The sequence below is a fragment of the Homo sapiens genome, chromosome 3 (assembly GCF_000001405.40).
Source record: "Homo sapiens chromosome 3, GRCh38.p14 Primary Assembly".
Classification (NCBI taxonomy): domain Eukaryota; kingdom Metazoa; phylum Chordata; class Mammalia; order Primates; family Hominidae; genus Homo; species Homo sapiens.
The window spans coordinates 139255160-139276677 of record NC_000003.12 but is presented as its reverse complement, the minus strand read 5'-3'; the positions used below and the strand labels follow the sequence as shown (position 1 = coordinate 139276677).

Genomic DNA, 21518 nt, shown 5'->3' with positions numbered 1-21518 from the left:
TTTCTACATGGGACCAAATTGTCCTTGCTCTCTTCTATGCAGCAGATTTATTTCTTAGTTACTTTTACATTGAAAGTGTAGCTATTGAGGCCCCAGCATTATGCAGGGGTCTTTTATTAGACAATCCACTTGGGCAGGCCCCAGGGCCCCATTATTTACCTATTTTCTCCCATTCCAGCTCAGCATCAACATGCAGGCTTAAAGTCACCAGGGGATGGTAGATCCTGGAACAAAACCGGCACTGTGCTCCATCATCCTGTGTTTACACTCTCCACGCAGTTTCAGTCTCTGTGACCCTATACTTTCTTGTCAATTCAGTCGTGTATTAAAATTTTTAAAATATTTTGTCTGATAGATCATTGTTTTCATTTGGAAAGTTGTTCAGGGTATTTAAGGCCCCTTGCTCCAGAAATGGAAGTCCCTGCACAGAGATTTTGGACAAAAATATAAAGTATTTCCTGCCTCAAAGCTAGATGCAAGCAAATTTAGACTGATGGTAAATATTTTTCTAAGATACTTTTTCTAAGATACCACTTTCCCTTTTCTATCCTCCTTCCAGTAATTTTCTCCATCCTTAAATATATTTGTTTCTCACTGTTGCTCTTCCCTTTCCCTCACTAGAAAAAAAAAAATAAACTCATGCTAAAGTGTTAATGACCAAAACCAACTTACCTCTACTCCTTAGTATCCTGTGTATCAGGAAACTTTAAAATTTTTCTTTTCTTTCAAGATTTACATTTTGAAAGGATCCTGGAGTTGATAGTTTGATTGAACGGAGTGACTCTCCGATTTTAAATTCTAGGATGCCCTTTCAGCCAGGGAAGAGCTTTCTCCAAATTGTCCCCAGACCAGACTGCTTAAAGGCCATTCCTTTGGTCCCTAGAGCCCACAATGTGTAAGGATGGTCAAGGAGTTCATTAGCTTCTTTGTTAGCTGCCCAGCCACACCCTCAGAGTTCCAAAAGCATCTCAGCCCCTCACCTGGCGGACCCACCAGGAGCTGTGCACATTAGCACACTAGATCTGGCCAAACCTGCCAGCGGGGTTTAGAAGCCTACACAGCTTATTCTTCTCTGCTGACTCTTACTAGTACTTCTCATCCTCCCTCCTGCTTCAGGGGAAATAGGGTCACTGATGGATGCAGAAAGAAAAATGGATTCCAGTGTTTTCAAGACAGAGAGCTTAACCCCAGTCTCTGATAAATACTTAAGGCACATTTCTGTGTGAGATCTTGGGAAAGCACACAAGCCCCTCACATAGGCTCTGACCCAGACAGAATCAGTGCCCCCAGATACCCCCGCCCACCCTTGTAGAGCATTGCCCTCTCTTTCATCCTGGTCACCTACCTATACTAGGCATACTCAGGGGCCTGGACAGCTGCCTCATCTGCTCCTTCCCCTTTGCGGGGTGGTTCAGGGATGTAATCTGGGCAGACTCTCAGTGGCAGCTTGAGAGACCTCAGGTAACATGTGCATAAAAGCTCTCTGAGACCCACTCTCTAGTTTAGGGTCCATTTCTCCCTGTTAGTGGGGTTAGGGGATACCAGGGGCTAGAAGGAGTAGACAGAGGTAATGGGAAGGTGAGGAACAAACACAGGCCTTTCCTGGGCTTGGCCTGTCAGATAACCCTGGCCCACTCATACACGAGTGGATGGTGTTCTAGTTATATAGTGCTGCATAACAAACTACCCAAAACGTAGTGGCTTAAAACAACAATTGTCATTAATTTCATTTATGAATATGCAAAATAAGTAGAGCTTGGTGGGGGTAGCTCATCTTTGCTCATCAGCTAAGGCAACTCAGTTGGGGTTGGAAGATCCACTTCCAGGATAATTTACATGGCTGGAAAGTTGGTGTCAGCTGCCGGCTGGGAATTCATCTCAGGCTGTTGGCTGGGGGCTTCTTCACAGCATGATGGTTGGGTTCCAAGAGTGAATGTTCCAAGATGTCAAGGCAGAGGCAGCAAGACTTCTCATGACTTAGGCTTGGAAGCCCAAGATACCATTTCTGCTGCATTCTAAGTCACTAATGCCAACTCATATTCAAGGGACAGAGGACTAGACATCTCTCAGTTGGAACACTTAGAAAGATGTGGCCATCTTTAGTTTACTACACATAAGTCTGGATGAATAGGAATGTTCCTGTTTCATTCAGTGTGTGTGTGTGTGTGTGTGTGTGTGTGTGTTTTGGGGGTGGGCAGTTATTTATCCATTCATTCAACAAGCACTTTAGAAAATCTCCTCAGGGACATCTGAGACAATGTCCCACTCTCAAGAAGCTCCCAATCATGTGGGGGGAAGTAGACACAGATGGGTAAGTGTGTATATTCATTCATCTATTTAATATGTATTGTTTGAGCACCTACTGAGTGCTATGCTGGGTGATGGGGTGCAGGGTGGCCATGCTGGACAGGCCCTGTCTTCAGGGAGCTCACAATTTGTCAGAGAAGACAAACATCAAACCTGTTATTACAAAAGAGTGTGATGAGGGCTGAGGGAGGAGCTGCATGGGGCTGGGAGGTCTCTAGCAGGCAGGTGTGATAGTCTCTCTGGAAAAGAGGTGTTTAAGTATAAACTTGCAGATGATGTTTGTGCAGATGAAGGGAAGGAAGCAAGTACACTCCCAGTAGAGGCAGCAACCCATGTGAAGATTCAGAGGCAAGGAAGAGTGAGAAGCATTTGAGGGCTTCACAGACAAATAGAGTAGTATGTACTTAGGTGTGGATATCCATGTGTATGCATGCTGGAAGTATGTGTGGGTCTGTGTGTGTATGTGCATGTGAGTGCATATATGTAGTTGTGCATGTGTGTTTTTGTGTGTTGTTAGAGCAATACCAAGAGCTTCCTCTCTGCACCTGGCTTTAGCTTATGGAGTGTCCCTACTCTGCAATCTAGAGGTCTGGGAAATAGTACACCCCGTCACTGCTGCCACACATCCCATGTGCACCCATGACCCATCCCATTCCACACCTTAGCTTGCACACAGGAATATGTTGATGTGGCCTGTGATTGGCATACAGCACTGAGCACTCAGAAGAGGCGGCTGCTCCAGTTCCAGCCTTAAGGCAACCTGCCTACCTCCTCCTCAGCCTGTCAGGTCTGCCGATGACCCAAGCCCAGGGTGATATAGGAGCAATGGCGCTAGAAGGGATCCTGCCACTTGACCAGTCCCTGACCACCAATGGGCCTCAGAGTTCTCTGTTGTGAGAAAGGGACCTATGGTGTGAGGAAGAGATTCCCTCCTCATGTGAGTCAGGCAATCCCATCTCAAAAACATGCATAAAAGCTCTCTGAGACCCGCTCTCTAGTTTGGCATCAATTTCTCCCTATTAGTGGGTTTTGAGGATGCCACAGCTGGGAGGAGTAGGCACAGGGAGTGGGGAGGCGAGGAACAAAGTCAGGCCTTTCCTGGACTCAGCCTCTTAGATAATCCTGGCCCTGAGAGAAAGCTGTCCCAGCCCCACAGCCCCACCTTGCCTGCTGTTTGCTCCTCGGCTACACACCAGAGAGAAAAAAGCAATTTAATTTTTTTAATTAAAAAAAATTGTATTGAGGTATAATTTACCTAAAATAAAATGCAGACATGTTATGTATAGTTGGATGAGTTTTGGCAAATTTAAACATCCGTGTAATCACCACCTCAGTGGAGATATAGAACATTTCCGGCTCCCTGGAAAGTTTCTCCCATGCTCCTTTGCAGTCAATGTCCCCTTTGCCATTACTATAGATTAGTTTTCCTGTTCTAGAACTTGACGTAAATGCAGTCATTTAGAATGCATTTTTCTGTGTCTGGATTCTTCTGCTCAGCATAATCCTTCTGAGTTATATCTGCATTGTTGCATGGGGTCAGTGGTTTCTTCCTTTTCGTTGCTGAGTAATACTCCATAGCATGAATGGACCGTGTTTATCCATTCACTTGTTGACAGACATTCACTTGTTTCCTCTTTTTCCTTTCTAGGTGACTTTTCAGAAGTTCCATATAACATTTCTTTTCGAATTTTAATGGCCAAAAATAGTCACATGGCCACACCTAGCTACAAGGAATCTGGGAAATGCAGCTCTAGTTGAATAGCAGTTGGGATTTTTTCCTAGGAGGAAGGTGAGAGTGGATACTGGGGACAACTAGTGGTCTCAATTTGGCAGAAACTAAGGTCCAGAGAAGCACTGATGTCACCAAAGTCATCCAGGTCCTCATAATAGAGGTGGGTCAAGGCTCCGGATTTAGAGCCTTTTCAATCTGTCAGCAGTAGACCACCTCACATTCAGTGGCAGTCATCCATGGGCCAGCACCCAGGGTCTAGGGCACCAGGAGAGAGCACCATGAAGAAGCTGAATGGCATCAGGTAGGAAGGGTAACACTGATGCCATGGGCATTTGACTGAACACTCACTATGCACCAGGTACTGGGCTGGTCCCTTCACCCAACATGCCAGCTGATTCACACAGCTGTTAGTCCCATTTCTCAGATGAGGAAACTGACATTTGGAGAGGTTAACTAACTTGACTGAGATCACGCAGCTAGCAAATGGTGTCTATAGGGCTCTAGACCTTCAGTTCTGCAGAAGGCAAGTTCTGATCACAGATAGAAATATAGGGTTTCTCAACATGCTTTCTAACAGGTAGAAGGAACCTCTATCTCAAGACTCATAAATAAATAGTCCTTTTAGGGCCCCCGCTGGCAGCCTCAGGGGCCTGCCACAGACCCCTACTCTTCTAATTCACTCAGGATTTTTACTCATAATTCTACTTTCCTCCATTTCATGCCTATAACATATTAACATAAACAACAGTGCTGACAGCAGCTCAGCTCTCACTGGCTCATGCTGGAATCTCACTGATGATTTTCATCAGGAAAAAAGACTAAACAGGTTAAGATGATTAAATTTTCTTAAACCTACAGCTAAGCCTAATCAAAGCCATTTGTGCAGAGGTGTGTGTGTGTGTGTGTGTGTGTGTGTGTGTGTGTGTGTGCGTTTTCCTTTGCTGGAAAGTTGACTGGCAGTTTCAAATGGATGGGTCTGACTTCTGGGAGAACAGAATTAAAGCATTTTCTGCAACTTCCAGACATTAGCATAGGCCATTTCCACTTCCCCGTCTGGGCTGGAACTGTCATTTTCCCTGAGAAACATCTGATGATGAAAATGAGTGTCTACATTTCATCCCCTCCCTGACTTCCCCCCCAAAGTTGAGTCCTTTTATGATTGCAGCTTTTTGTGTTGAATGAGCAAGAAAGTGTCACTGATTCCTAATTTCCAGACATTTAGGGGGTCAGGAGCCTTTCATACAGGCTGATCATATAATCTTGGCCAAACCCTTTGCCCTCTCTGGGCTTTGGCTTCCCAATCTGCAAAATGGGGAGGTTGGTCCTAAGGATCTCCAAATCAGCAGAGTAGAGCACAGCAAATGGGGTGTGACAGGAACCAGTCTCCTCCACGTGTGTGCTGTTCTTTGTCACACAAAGCTCACAGGCATCCTTACTGATTATGTTCTATAACCTATCTGTATGCTCAAAGGGGCACCCACAGGGCATAGCTTTTCCCTCTCTGACATCCTCAAAAATCCTCTCAAACCTGTCTTCACCTTCACAAGGTTTCAGTGGACCCCAAAGCCAGGAATTAAACCACATTTTCAGGTATTAAGAAGGCCAGTCTCATCCTGTATTAGTCCATTTTCACACTGCTATAAAGACACTACCTGGGACTGGGTTTACAAAGGAAAGAGGTTTAATTGATTCACAGTTCCACATGGCTAGGGAGGCCTCAGGAGACTTACAATCCTGATGGAAGGGGAAGAGGAAGTAGGTAGCTTCTTCACAAGGCAGCAGGAGAGAGACAGAGTGAGCAAAGGGGAAGTGCCACACTTTTAAACCATCAGATTTCCTGAGGACTCACTCACTATCATGAGAACAGCATGGGGGAAACCACCCCCATAATCCAATCACCTCCCACTAGGTACCTCCCTCAACACGTGGGGATTACAATTCAAGATGAGATTTGGGTGGCGACACAGAGCCAAACCATATCACATTCCATTTAAAACTTCAATCTCTCTCCCAATTCAATACTCCTTTCCCTTTCCCAGCGTTCACCTGTGACACCTCACTCAAGAACCTGGAAGTGCGGTAGGAAGCATGGTCACTTTCATTTTTCCTCTCCCCAGTTCCAGGCATTCCAGAGCTGGGTAGGAGCCTGGGGGGTAGATTTGGGGGTTAGGAAGGAGACTAGAGAAAGGAGAAGCAAGGCCCTATTTGTAGTACCCTCTAGGACATCCGTAGCTAGCTGTTTTCCCTCTACAACTTCAGGCATCCAAACGCTGACCATCACACCCACCCACTGGGTATGTATCTGTAGACTCTTACAGGGACCTGCTCACCACACTGTACAGTTCTCTGGCTGACTCTTGCAACCTTCCTCAGCACTACCACCACAAGTGGCCCTCCTCATGGTTTCTTGCTGCTCGGGTTCCCTCTCCCTAGCAGGCAGGTCCTGTCATGACAGCTTGAGCCCCAGCACTTCCCATGGTGTCCACATGACCCACAGGAAACTCTCATGTGAGGCTGCTCTACTGCCACTGCACTTGTCCCTCTCCCTGCTGCCATAGGCCACTCCTGCAAGCCCCATGAGTTCCTAGAAAGAAGCAGGCAGCAGTCTCCATGTTCACAGCTACACCCAAACTCCAGGTGGTGTGTGCCATGATCACTCTCACCACACTTCCCTTAGAGCAGCAAGATGGCCCTTGGGTTTCTAAAGCTCAGCAAATATCCTTCCCTAGAACAGTCCACTCCCAAATTCTGCAAGTACTTTTTAAGTCCTCTTAACATGTTTGGGTGGAACACCACCCCACATGGTGTGGAAGAGATGGAAGGGCACAAAGACTCTTGAATTCCTTCCAAATATCTACTTTCTTTTATGTAGGCTGGAGGCGGGGGATGGGGATTGGTAGTCACTGGACCACTTCTGCTACCTTTTAGCAATCTGCAGGGATGTGGCTGGCATCTTACTTACAATGTATTTTTAGCTTTGAGGCGTCAATCAACCTCCAGAAACATTAATACTGTGTTGCATAACTTTTAGGATTTTTCTCAGTACTTTCTCCCAGAAAAAGAAGATAAAACTAAACACAAAGCAAGCAGAAGAAAGGAAATAAAGACTTAAGTAACAATAAATGAAATAAAGAATAGAAAAACGATAGAGACAATCAACAAAACCAAATGCCATTCTTTGAAAAGATCAATAAAACTGACAAACTTTTAGCCCAACTGACAAATATATAAAGGAGATAGAAGACTCAAAAACTAAAATCAGAAAAAAAAGGATTATAAGGGAATACTATGAACAACCATATGCTACAAATTAGATAATTAGGTGAAATGGACAAATTCCTAGAAAAACATAAACTACCAAAACCAACTCAAGAAGAAACAGAAAATTTAAATAGACCTATAAGAAGAAAAGAGAATTCATAATTTTAAAACTTCCCACAAGGAAATGCCCAGGTCCACATGGCTTTGCTCGTGAATTCTACCAAACATTTAAATAATGATACCAATACTTCACAAACTCTTCTAAAAGTAGAACGGGGAGGAATTCCCAACTCATTCTCTGAGGCCAAAATTACCCTGATACCAAAACCAGACAAAAACATCACAGAAAAGAAAACTACAGATCAATATCTCTTATGAATATAAATGCAAAAATTCTCAACAAAATACTAGCAAACTAAATCCAGCAACATATAAAAAGGATTATATACCATAATCAAGTGGGATTTATCCCAGGAAGGCCAGATTGGTTTAACATCTGAAAAATCAATTCATGTAATACGCTCTATTAATAGAGTAAAGAACACAAACCACACGATCATCTCTATAGACACAGAAAAGGCATTTGGCAAAGTCCAAGAGGGAGGAGAGGGAAAGGCACTCCAGACAGGGGAAACAACCTAAACAAAGGCACAAGGGGAAAAGAGTTTTATTTAGAGGATGTACAGGGAATAAAGAAGTATTTTCAGAAACCAGATGGGTGTCAATCTATAGAGAGCCTTGAATATACCAGTCTAAGGGATCAAGAGGGAGCCATGAGAGTGCTGAGCAAAGCTTTGACATAATTTAAATGACGCTTTAGGAAGCTAAACTGGACAAAATTATCCAGTGATCCATTTATATACACCAATATGACTCCAAGATACAGAGTAACAATCAACACAATTTTCTGGAGGATAAACTGCAATCTAATTTACTCCCAGCGTGGATCCAGGTTTCGCAGCTGAAAGTACGTATCAGTTTTGAGGCCCTCTTTAAGATAAAAAATTAAAATTAAAAATCAAAAAAAGGTACAAAAGTGAACGCTTATTTACAAGGAGGAAAGAAATTACAACATGCCCATGGCTACTCCAAACCATTCAATTCAAGAAGTGAGAAGGAGGGGATGTTAGAATGGAAAGAGGTAGGAATCTTAACCAATTATAGTTATTATATCTGACTTTTGCCAACTGTACAAAAATATATGACCATGTGGGACGACGCATGAGCTTTGAGAGAATCCCTGCACAGGAGGAGCCATGAAGCCCAGGCCTCCTAGCCTCATGGTGAATCTGCCCTGTGGTGTGCTGAAGCCAGTATGCACAGGTTCATAACAAGCAAGCATGAACACTTCTTCCCAATGGCACATTCAGTGACACAGATCAGCCATGGAGTGAGTATTTAGTTACACTACAGAAATTGGTAAATGCTACAAATTTGGGCTTCCTCCATTCCAGAAAGCTGGCTGTTAAACATTTGCCAGCATGCCACTGAATCCACTTCTATTTATGGCTACAATGTTTGCCAATTCTGGTCCTTGGCACAGAGTCCCTGTCATTGGCCATCACAGCTGGACTATTCAGAGGTCAAAGTCCTTAGAGTCAATGTCAAACCAGGGGAGATGTCTCTAGTACAGTGATCTCAGAGCCTTCCAGTGTGCCCTGCCCACTCTCCTCACTATGCCCCTTCACTCTCTTACCTTCTCTGCACCTCACCCACCAAAAGAAGCCAAAGCAGTGCTCCCAGCATCTCTGAGCAGGTGAGACGAGAACATTTCAGACCAGGACTGAATGTGAGCGAGGGGCCTTTTTTTCAGGCCTAATGGAGCCAGGAGACAGGATCACAGGGGAGGGCAGCCGTCCAAGCTACTTCTATGGGGAATGGTTGGCTTTGGAGTCCTTTAGGTTAATGACCCTAAAGATAAAGCTGTGCCCTGACCATCTCATGACCTGTTGGCCCTGTGTCTGCTGGATCAGCTGACATCTCCATCCTTCGGCATTCTCAGAGCAGTGAGGCCCTCCTCAGTGCTCACACCACCTCTCATTTACCCTAAATATGCTCACCTCCGGTTCTAAGGACTCCTCATTCCACATAACGGACTAGGGGGAGGAATCAGTGCTCTGCACTCTGCAGGCCCTCCTTCTGCTCTTCCTTCCCTTTCCAGAGAGAGGCTGCCTCAGGTTTTAGTAGGACCCATAGAGCCAGGCTTTTCTACCTTTTCTCTGGATCTGTAGGCCCACTGTACTGATAGGGAAACTGAGGCTCAGAAATCAGAAGTCACACTGAGGCCTGTCTGACCCCAACATCTGTGCCCTTTTCATTCTGCTATGCTGCCTCTTGAATAGGTATGGATTCTGCCTCCTGCAAGCATGAAGCGAAGTCCCTAAGCAGAATGCATTCCCAACCCAACCTACGGGGTCCAGAATGGCACAGAGCTCCCAATGTAGCAACCTCCAACCTTAGAGCTATGGGGATGAACGGGTGGGAGATGAGGCAGGATACAGATGGGGTAAAGAAGGAGTTAAGCAGGAATATGGTAGTGGCCATGAGGACACAACTGAATGGTACTCAGTGGTCTATATGGGGTTCCCGCTCATCTCTGGGGATGCTTATGTGGAGATGTGTACAGCATTCATCAGCTATCAACCAGTGTCATAATAACTGCCTGTGAGCACACCTGCCCAGGCTCTATGAGGCCCCTCTGAGAATAAGCACAATCAACAGTGATTTAGGGATTGCACTTTGAGCCAAAAGTTGTACGTTCAAATCCTGGCTCTACTGCTAACTAGCCATAGGACCAAAGGGAAGTCACCTTGCCTCTCTGGGGTTGTTTCCCTCCCTGTAAAATGGAGATGAGAGGCCAGCTCACTCAAGGCAGGCAGTGTAGTCTAATGGTCAGGCACATACACTTTGAGGACATAGAACATAGACTCATAATCCCAGTGCAGCCATTTGCAAACTAGGGATCCTGGACAAATTACCTCTCTGTGTTTCAGTTTGCTCACCTGTAATATGGAGACAGTAATACTATCTAATTGAGAGTGAGAGATAGATTTTTTTTTAGATGGAGCCTCACTCTGTCGCCCAGGCTGGAGTGCAGTAGTGTGATCTTGGCTCACTGCAACCTCTACCTTCTGGGTTCAAGCGATTCTCCTGCCTCAGCCTCCTGAGTAGCTGGGACTACAGGCGCACACCACCACGTCTGGCTAATTTTTATATTTTTAAATAGAGATGGGGTTTTACCATGTTGGCCAGGCTGGTCTCGAACTCCTGAGCTCAAGTGATCTACCTGCCTCGGCCTCCCAAAGTGCTAGGATCACAGGCGTGAGCCACCGTGCCCAGCCAGAGGGATAGATATTTATGTAGAGATTATATATAGATATATTTTTAAGGACTAAATGAAATAATATCTGTAAAGAACCAAGAATACCAAGAACAGTGCCTGACATTTCCAGCTATTCAGCATCAGCTAGTGCATCTATTCAGGCCTCAGCCTGTGGCTCTCAGCCTAGAGGAGGACTCTGGCCCCCAGGACTGAGTTACTCACTCCAGGAGATTTTGTGCCAGCCATGTCGCCCCATACAGAAGGTCTCCCACAGCTGCCAGACCTCTGTCATCCATCCCACTGGCCCCACCACTCACCCCGCTCAGATTTCCAATTATTTGTCCTGTTTTGAATTCAAGTGGGATATTAGCAGTGAGTCTGGCTTTATTAATGGCGGCATCTTTAGTGTTATCGACTTTCTCACTCACTCCTCGCTCTCACTCCAAGCTCTGTTTCCTTTAATTAAGCCCCAAGCTAAGTGCTGAGCAGGTGATGTGAGTCTGGAACAGCCTTTGTTCTGGGATTTAGGCACTTTCTCATGAGCTTGGGAATGGAGAGACAGCGTGCTACTGCCTTTGAAGTCTGACATCCATCCCCACAATCAGAAAAGTGGGACAGTGTAGAGCGTCAGGCCAGAGAGGCAGAAACTATACTCTGTCCCCACTCAGCCTCCCTACCTGTAAAGTTGGGGGTGAGACGCATGAGAGTGTCTGCCATCCCTCTCAGCCCCGTGACACTTGGCATCTACTGAGGATTGGAAGGTCAGCCCAGCAGACTATGCCAGAGGCTCCATTCTGCAGACTCACTGATGAGGTGACAAAAGCCACAGACACCAAAAAGGCAGTGAGCCATAGAGAAAATAGCCCAAACTTTGGCATACTTAGCTTCAGTTTGAATCCTGATCCTGCTGCTCTTGTCTTGCCTCGGTAAGTTATAAGCATATTGAGCTCAACTGCCTCCTCTATAAAATGGGGTGATGGTATCTACCTCCCTGGGGATGACATATGGGAGTCATCTTCAATGCCAGCCCTGATACTGTGAGTATCTCACTGTGCAACAAGTTTGCTGTTTGAAGGCTACTTATTCCCAGCTCTGATCCCTGCTTGGCTGTGGGTCTCTGTATGAATCTCCTGACTACAGAGACAGAATTAATCTTTTCTGTGCATTATTCTGTATCTTGTCATGGATGGATGCATATGTACATCATTGCATGCATCCTATACTATTGAAATGATGGTGGATGTGTCTATATTTCCACCTAGGGCCTGCTTTTTATTCTCTCTTTGACAGGTAAGTGGAGAGGGAAGCAGGATCAGGAAATTGTAGGCAGTTGGTGACTGTCAGCTGAATTCAGTTCAATTTACTATATAGTAAGCCATCATCACAGTTGCCCAGCAGACCCTCACCTGGACGAGATAAGCAGGTGTCTTGGGTATCTGTGGCTTTTGTCACCCCATCAATGAGTCTGCAGAATGGAGCCTCCAGCATGGTCTGCTGGTCTGACTTTCCAATCCTGAGTAGATGCCAAGTGTCACAGGCGTCGCTTGGTTTAGGGCTTGAAGCTTTCCTAAGTACTATCTGAAAAGTGAGATCCAAGGCAGGTTATTCACTGTCAAGAAGTGAGTATATAAAAGATTGAGTATAAAACCCCAGCACAATGCCTGCCACAAGGAAATACCTAGCAAATGTCATTAAATTGTTGATGTAATGAAGGCCCTAGATAATAAACACTATGGTGTTCGTAACTGGCTTATGCAGATGGGTATCCACACTCACAATCCCTGCCTCACTGTGTGGCTGGAAAGCCCCATCCCTTCCAGCTGGCCTTAATACCCACGCAGGCCCTCAGACAATCACTGCACTATTCTAGTTTAATCTCCCAGGTGAGGGGGCAGCTGTGGGTTGGGTAGAAAGATAAACAGCCAAGTGACCTCTATCAGGTGGTGAACAGCAGCTTTGGGCCTCTTTCCCCAAGGAATGGAGTTGGGGGTCTCAATGCTACTATCCAAGCAGTACTGGAACCGCCACAGACTTCACCATTCACCCTGTCACTCTTCCCTGGGGGCCTTTCTCATCTCCCCTCTGAAGCCCTGCCCACCCTCCTGATCTCTGCCTGCCCCTCCAAAAGGGCTCTCAGCCCCATGGTCCCAGCGATGCTCCATAGCACACGGCACGGCTGCTTCCTCTCAGTCCCTGGCTGCAGTCAGCCTGCTTCTCCTCTATCTACCCTACCAGAGTGTGGGTTCCTTTGGGCTGGGTCTGCTCTGGTTCTTCTCTACATCCCCAGCACCTAGAGGAGGAGCCAATCCAGAGCAGGCATTCAGGAAAACTCTGGTAAACTGGCTTCAGTCCCAGATGCCCAAATGATGTCCACAGTTTTTTTTTGTTTTGTTTTGTTTTGTTTTTAATAGTTCGTAAATTTCATTCAATTCTAGAAGCATCTGCTCCCCACTCCTGGGCACCAGTCCTGTGCCTAAGTCAGAACTACAGGTCCCAGTGTATAAGACTAAATTCCGGATGAAACAAACAAAAGGGGAGAAGGTACTGGAATGAAGAGTGCATGGACCTCCACGGCTGGATTGAGGGCTGGACCATGGCCCTACAACTCTCTCTCTGTTTCTCAGCTCCATTTCCCAGGTACTGACTTTTCAGGCAAACTCCCCACACCAAGTGACCAGATGGCCACCTCAAGCTCCAGGTTTTGATTCTCCCAGCTCAGCAGCTCCAGAGACAAGAATGCCTCTTCCTGCCACTGCCCAAGGAGGCCTCTCATTGGCCCAGTGTGAGGCACATGCTTTTCTTTTCTTTTTCTTTTTCTTTTCTTTATTTTATTTTATTTTTTTTTTTTTTTTTGAGACAGAGTCTCACTCTCTTGCCAGGCTGGAGTGTAGTGGCGCGATCTCAGCTCACTGTAACCTCCGCCTCCTGGGTTCAAGCGATTCTCCTGCCTCAGCCTCCTGAGTAGCTGGGACTACAGGCGTGTGCCACCACGCCCAGTTAATTTTTGTATTTTTAGTAGAGACGGGGTTTCACCATGTTGACCAGGATGGTCTCGATCTCTTGACCTCGTGATCCACCCGCCTCGGCCTCCCAAAGTGCTGGGATTACAGGCGTGAGCCACCGCGCCCAGCTGGGGCACATGCTAATCCCTGAACCAATCATTGTGGCTGAGGGGAACAGTGCTCTGATTGGCTAGGTTAGGGTTCCAGCCCAGGGAGCCAAGGGCTGTGTATAGTCAGCCCTGCCCAGATGACGTGGACTTGGGGGCCCGCGTAGTTTCCCTAAGGAAAATCAGGGTGCTCTTTCCAAAAGAAGGGGAATGGGTAGGCAAAAGCAATCAATATTCACTGGACCGCAAGGTGCCTTCAGGAGACCAAGCAAAAACAATCCAAGTGACTAACGGCCTAATTAAGAGACAACTCTGTCTCATCGAAGCCGAACTGTGTATCACAGACTCTCAGGGCTGCTGGAGATGAAAAGAGAGGGCTGGAGCAATTTGGAAGGCTTCCTGGAGGGGGAGGTGGGACTTAAAGGACTGGTTGACCCAAGAAAAAGGGCGGTTGTGTTTCCAGGCTGCTATGTGCAGACATGAGAGAGATGGGGTTTGCCTTTGGACATCATACCAGGGCACAGGGCTGTCACCAAGACCACACTGGGGGTACTGAGGAGAGGGAGTTAAGGGGCAGGAGAGCCTCGCCCATCCAAAGGGCCAGGCTCCACCCATAGGACCCAAGCCAGCAAGATCAAAATCTAATTTACTCATTAGGCATGTTTTTTCTGTACAAATCAAATCATGGGCTATTTTTCCACATCATAAATATTGTTTTAAACTCTTGCTCATGGGCAATTAGATTACAAGCATCGCCTGGTGAGCTATACGCCAGCACATTTGGCGTGTCTCTGGCTGCTTAGTGAGCAATTTCCTTTTTAAATGTTTCCCAATGATTTTTTAAGGGTCTTTGAAATCTTCTCCCTAGTGATGTGTGAGGGCCCTTGTCTGTGGCTATTAATGTCCGTAACAGCCCAAGAGAGACTCAGCCTCATCTGTGTTATTTTCCAAACAGCCCAGGCTGAGCTCTGCACCCCTTCCTTGTATTTCTTGCTGTTCCAAAGGCCTTCACCAGCCAGCTAAGGACTGTCCCTGCCTCTGTCTTTGTGCTAAAGACTCAGGAAAGTATACACCCTGTGCATCAGCTCTCAGTAGACCGGCATGCCAGTATCAAGATCTTCATTCATTTTGGGCAAGTTATTCCACTTACCCTCCCTGAGTCTGGGTTTTGACATCTATAGAAAGGGATCAAGGCTTGCCTCACCCAAATGGTTCCCTATTCTCCTCTGCTGGCCTTTCTGGGCCCTCTATGATCTTCCACAGCTGCCAGAAAGACTTTTGTTCTGATGATCCCCAAATACACTCCCTTCCCTTTCAGGTCAGCTCCCTGCTCCCTTACGTGCTTCTTCCTCCCACCCTGGCTCACCTTAGCCTTGCCCTGGAGGAACAGCTCTCTCCCTTGAGACACACATAACCCCAACATGATCTGGCTAAGCACCAGAGCCACCTCCTCCAGGAAGTGCTTCGTGACTGCCCTGGCCCTCAACTATCTGTCTTTTCTCTGGCCTTCCACTCCACAGAACGCTCTTTAGTCCCTGACTACAACCACCTCTTACTGAGCACCTAGTGTGTACCAGGCACTATGGTAGAGGCTGTATATGCTATTTTTTTTTCAGTCCTCCTAACAGTCCTGCAAGGTAAATATTATTATTCCTATTTTGCAGGTGAGAAAACTGAGGCTCAGAGAGGTAAACTGACATCTCAAGGTCACACCGCTTGTAATGGCCAAGCCAGAATTTGAGATTATTTTCCCCCTAAAAAGGACAATCTTATATGGAGCTTCTGCTTTGCCAGGCGGGGGCTGTGCCTCATTTAATCCCCACAACATCCCCCCACGATGTAGGTAGTGCTATCTCCATTTTACATAAGAGAAAGGCCTAGAGAAGTAGCATCTTACATCCACCGCTTCTCAGCCAATACATGGAGTGAGATTCAACGTTAGACCTGCTGACTCCACAGATTTACTCCTCCTACCCTTCACCCTACTCCCAAACAGCCCCACAGGTGTGGCTGCCTTGTCTCAAAGCTAAAGGACAGACTCTACTTCTCAAGGCCCTGGACTACTTTCCCAAAGACTGTGCACCCATTCTGAGCTGTGAGCATGAAGGAGGAAGGTTAGAAGCCCAACCTCAGGGAGAAAGGTCCAGAGAGCATGACAAAATATGAACTCTCTTCTGACGATTTCCTTCCTTCCTTCCTTCCTTTGTTCCTTCCTTCCACAAGTATTTATACGCAGTACTCTGTGCAGTTACCACTCCCTCCCTTCCTCCCTCCCTCCCTCCCTCCCTGCCTACCCCCCTTCCTCCCTCCCTCCCTCCCTCCCTCCCTCCCTTCCTTCCACAAGTATTTATGCAGCAGTACTCTGTGCAAGAGGGTACCTGGCTGTACGTCCCTCTGTGATTTAGAAGGACAAAGTCACTGCCTGTCTCCCAGCCAAGGGCTTTCTGGTGAAGTGCTCCCAGGGCTGCTGGTTCTCCTAGAGGAGGTGCTCCTGGGAGGCAGTTATAGGCATAGATGTCCTGGAGGCCACACACCAGGGGGCAGGGCTGGAGGAGTGCTGATCTGGGGTTCCTGGCCCCTGCACTGAACAGAGGGACACGGCTTAGGGTTCCCAGGGCAATGTCTGTCCCCAGGGAATGATGTCAGCTCTGCCCTTAAAGGGAGGTGAGCTGGCCTGTTGGGAGGTATCAAGGAGTTATAAGAATAAAGGACTCCCCCAGCCCCCAATTTCAGCAGTGCTTGCATCTCCGGCATCCCCAGCAGGGGCTCCTCTCTGTGCCTGAAGTTATGAGGCAGCCTCCTTGCAGTACAATGAGCCTGCTCCCCAGGCTCTGGCTCTGGCCTCCCTGTTCATTCCTCCTGTTGTCGCTTTTACTGAACTGAGCTTTGGCCTATACTACAGAGCATGGTGAGATGCCTCCTCATAAAGGGTCCTGTTGTCACTGTTGAGGGATGATGCTCCTGCTCCTGAGGTCATCATCCATCACATCACATCTCATCCTCATGAAAAACTGGCCCCTTCCAACAGTCCTCACAGTCCCAGCACCAGTAACTCAAGTTTCTTCTAACCTGGCTAGTTTTTAATATTGTAAATATTATGACTTCTATATCTGATCACATATCCCTCTTTGCCTTGGTTGCTAAGAAACTCAGAGTCAACGGTCATCTTACTCTCAGCAACTCTACAGGACCTTATGTTACAAGAGCCTTATTTCTTTTTCCTGTCTTGATTTTCACCTTAGCCTCAACTTCCTCATGTGTCTTTATTAAATTCTTTTGGACTGAATATATTTCTGTAACAACCTCAAATTTAACACTTCCCTACTGTGTGACCTAAGGAAAGCTAAGTAACCTCTCTGAGCCTCAGTTTCCTGGATGCTAAAGTAAGAGGAGGAACACACACCTCACAATATTCTATGAGAGTAAATTAAGCCAACGTGGGCCAGACACTTGGCACTAGAACAGTTAGCTGTTATTTACTTTTATTACAGAGATGAATAAATAAAATTAAATAAACTTAGAGATACTGGTTTGGAAAGAATTCCCCTTTTATATTCTCTTTGGTCACAAGCAAAGATTGGAAGCTAAGAGTGGTTAGAATTTAAGATTGGATTTAGCCCACACTCCAAATCACTCCACTACATAGCCAGCCTCTCCTCACCCAGAAGCCTTCACTGTGTGGCTCCCACATTATCTTTCTAAAGGAGCCCAGATGGCAGAGAGAGGCTGGCTAGAGTTGGGGCTGCCTACGCTCCTTACCTAAGAGGTTCCCCACGATATGAACCCTGGGTCTTGGTAGCTGGGCAATCTGTTGGGGGAAGTGATCTTGAGAGAAAAGTCATCTAGAAAGAGGAGAAGGTCTGTGGAAAATTGGGTATCCCAGAGCTGCTGCTTCTATTCCTCTCCAATTAGAACCAGGGAACAGCAGAGCTGGAAGGCACTACTTAGAGAGTAGTCATCCAGCTGCTTTATTTTGCCCAGAGAAAAACTGAGGCCCAGAGAGGGAAAGGGATTGGCCTGAGGTCACAAAGCAACATACGAAACTCCTTGCCTCCTCCATGACTCCAGCCAAGACCTCTCTCCTGAACTTCAGACCCAGGTCCAATTTCCCACGTGACACCTCCAGTTAGATGACTGATGGGTACCTCAAACTTAGCACATCCAAAACTGAAGTCCTAAATTTGCCCCAAAACCTATGCCTGCCACAGTCTTCCTTTATCTTTCTCCCTCTGTCCTCACCCCCTTTCTCTCTTTCCCCCTCTCTCTTCCTCCCTCCCCCTCCCTCACCACACCCGATATTTGGTCTGTTATCTAATCCTATTGTCCAGATTTTCACTACATTTCACTCCCTGGCTCAGTTTCCCATCTTCTTCCACCTGAGTGTCCCCCTCACTGGTCTCTTGCTTTTGTCCTGGGACCGTAAGACTATTCCCAACATATGAACCAGAGTGGAAACATAAATAGGATCATGTCCTATTTATGGACATGTGGGCCCTCTGCCCACATGTCCCTGCCCCCCAGTGGCTTCCAGTTTTGCTCAGGGTAAAAGCAAAGTTCTCTGTGACCCACAGCATCCTCCATGATTTGCCCTCCTCGACATCCCCCACTTCTCTTACCTCACCTCCTACCCCTCTGCCCCTTATTCAATCCGCTGCAGCCAAACCCACCCTCTTAATGTGCCCCCAAGAGCCTTTGCACTGTCTGTTTCCCCTGGCAGGTGCTCTTCCCCCAACATCCACAAAGCTAGTTTCCTCACTTCCTCCAGGTCTCTACTCAAAAATTACTTTCTCCCTCATATGATTTTCAATAAGGGGGCCAAAACTATTAACTGGGGAAAGGACAGTCTTTTCAATAAATGATACGGGAAAAGAAAAATGTACACATTCAAAAGAATGAAGTTGGAACCTTAACTAACATCATATATGAAAATTAACTCAAAAAGGATCAAATACCTAAATGTAAGACCTAAACCTATAAAACTCTTAAAACATAGGAGAAAAACTTCATGACATTGAGCTTGTCAATGATTTATTGGATATAATACCAAAAGCATAGGCAACACCACCAAAATAGATTGGGCATCATCAAAATTAAAAACTGTTGTGCATCAAGTACACTACCAACACAGTGAAAAGGCAACCGATTGAATGAGAAAAAAAAAATTTGCAAATCATATACCTGATAAGGGATCAATACTAGAATATACAAAGAACTCCTAAAAATCAACAATAAAAAGCAAATAACCCAAATAAAAAATGGGCAAAGGACTTAATTAGCCATTTCTCCAAAGATAATATACAAATGGCATATGCATAGGAAATAAGCATATGAAAAGACAACATCACTAATCATTAGAAAAATGCAAATCAAAACCTCCATGAGATACCACTTCACACCCATTAGGATCAGTACTATTTTTTTTTTTAAAGCAGGAAACAAGTGCTGGCAAGGATGTGAGAGAAGTTGGAACCATTGTGCATTTTTGCTGGGAATGTAAAGTGGTACAGCTGCTGTGGAAAACAGTATGGCAGTTTCCAATAATTAAGCAGTGAATTACTATGTGATCCAGCAATTCTACTTCTGCGTATATATGCAAAAGAATCGAAGGCAGGGACTAAACAGTTATTTATATAGTAATGCTCATAGTAACATTATCCACAGTCACCAAAGGGCGGAAAGAACCCAGATATTCCTCATCAGATTAATGGAAAAACAAAATGTAGTATATACACATACTGGAATATCATTCAGCCTTCAAAAGGAATGAAATTCTGACATATACTACATTAGGATGAACCTGGAAAACATTATGTTGTATGAAATAAGCCTGACACAACAGGGCAAATCTTGTATGATTCCACTTATATAAGGTAGTGTGAGGAGCATATGAGTAGTTTTTATATAAGGCATATATGTGGTATATCATTACACTAATAAGAGGCACAGAGTGGCCGGGTGCAGTGGCTCACACTTGTAATCCCAGCACTTCGGGAGGCCGAAGCAGGTAGATCCTCTGAGGACCTCTGAGACCAGCCTGGCCAATACAGAGAAACCCTGACTCTACTAAAAATACAAAAATGAGCCGGGCATGGTGGCACGTGCCTGTAGTCCCAGCTACTCTGGAGGCTGAGGCAGGAGAATCGCTTGAACCCAGGAGGCGGAGGTTGCAGAGAGCCAAGATCACGCCACTGCACTCCAGCCTGGGCGACAGAGCAAGAGTCTGTCTCAAAAAAAAAAAAAAAAAAAAAAAAAGAAAGAAAGAAAGAAAAAGAGGCACAGAGTAGTCAAATTCTTAGAGACAGAAGGTGGTAGAACAGGGGTTAGCAGGGGCTGAAGTGAGAGGGAAATGGGGAGTTATTGCTTAAGGCATACAGAAGTTCAGCATAGGATGACTTTAAAGTGCGGGAGACAGATGGTGGTGATGAATGCACAACAATGGGACTGTAGCTACCATTGAACTATATACTTAAAAATGGCTAAGATGTACATTTCATGTTATGTATATTTTACCACAATAAAAATACATAAATTTTAAAAATTACCTTCTCAATGAGGCCTTCCCTGGATACTCTAAAATTTCAACATTTCCTCCACTAGATATTTCACATCTCCTTTCCTTACTTCATTTTTTGTTAGTACTTATCACTATCTCACACATTATTATATTTTAATGCCTCATACCACCAAAAGAGATACTAGAATATACGCTCAATAAGGACAGAGATTTTCATCTGTTTACTACTGCATTGCCAGCACCCAGGCCAGTGCTTGGCATGTACACATATAAATGTTTGTTGAATGAATGTAAAACACCAAGGGGTGGGTAGGACTGAGAAAAGATGCTCTGGGCCATCTCTAGGGAATCCACAGTTCCCAAGAGGGGCTCTGATCCTAGAAAGGAGCTGGAACCCTAGAGGCGCTTCCAGGCTCTCCCACCCCTCAGCTACTCCCGGCCACCTGGGGAGCTGCTCTATTAGATTATGTTAGTTCAGTGGCCGGAAGGGCAGGGAGTTCATGGGAAAGGAGCTCATCAGAGTCGAAAGGGAATCCAGGAAGGATCCCTCACTCCCACTGCAAACACTTCCACATCCCTGGGAAGGTGGCTGATGGGTGCACCCAGCAGGAGCAGCTGCCAGGCCAGGCTCTGGGGCAACAAGCCAGCTGCAAGCACTTATTGGGCACCCACTGTGTGTCCAGATCCTTGCTGAGGTTATGGAGCCATTAAGAGAATTTTTCTGCTTCTAGGAGTTGTACTCGAGGAAACACACATGCATCCACACACATACCCACACACACCACTGGGTCCTTCAGGTGAGAACTGAATGCTCCATCATATGGTGTAGGCCAGGCAGTCTGGCAGTGTCCCTTCCCTTTTCATGGGTTTTTACCCTCTTTTATGCAACCAGAGAATTCCTGTTCCTGGGCCTTTTCTCATCTGTCCACATTTACTTCCAGGGAAGTATACTACGCTGGTCATTCATACCTAGTAATGTGAAGTAATCTAAATGTTTTTTCTCTTCAAGGGATTTGACATCTAATATCCATCTTTAACTTTTCAGTGACATTTCTTATGCCCTGAGAAATGGATGTGAGGCTTCAGGAGTGGCTGGGGAATAACTGTGTGGAGCGTTCTCCTAGGGCCTTGAAATGAGGCCCTGCGAGCCATGTGGGTCCTAATCCCCTCTGCATCCTGATATAGTCCTGGAGGCCCTTAAGAGATGACCACAGTGGGCTAGCAGGCTGGAGGTGATGCTTCTGAGAATGGGGGCTGGGGGGGGGGGGCGTCC

The 21518-nt window shown here is 46.1% G+C and overlaps 1 annotated feature.

Moving 5' to 3' along the window:
* Nucleotides 20763-20930: a silencer, noted in NCBI's record as "fragment chr3:138974590-138974757 (GRCh37/hg19 assembly coordinates)". NCBI's record gives its function as "represses an EF-1alpha promoter that drives an FKBP-Casp9 reporter gene in an ReSE screen in HepG2 liver carcinoma cells {active_cell/tissue: HepG2}" and the evidence as "EXISTENCE:reporter gene assay evidence [ECO:0000049][PMID:32094911]".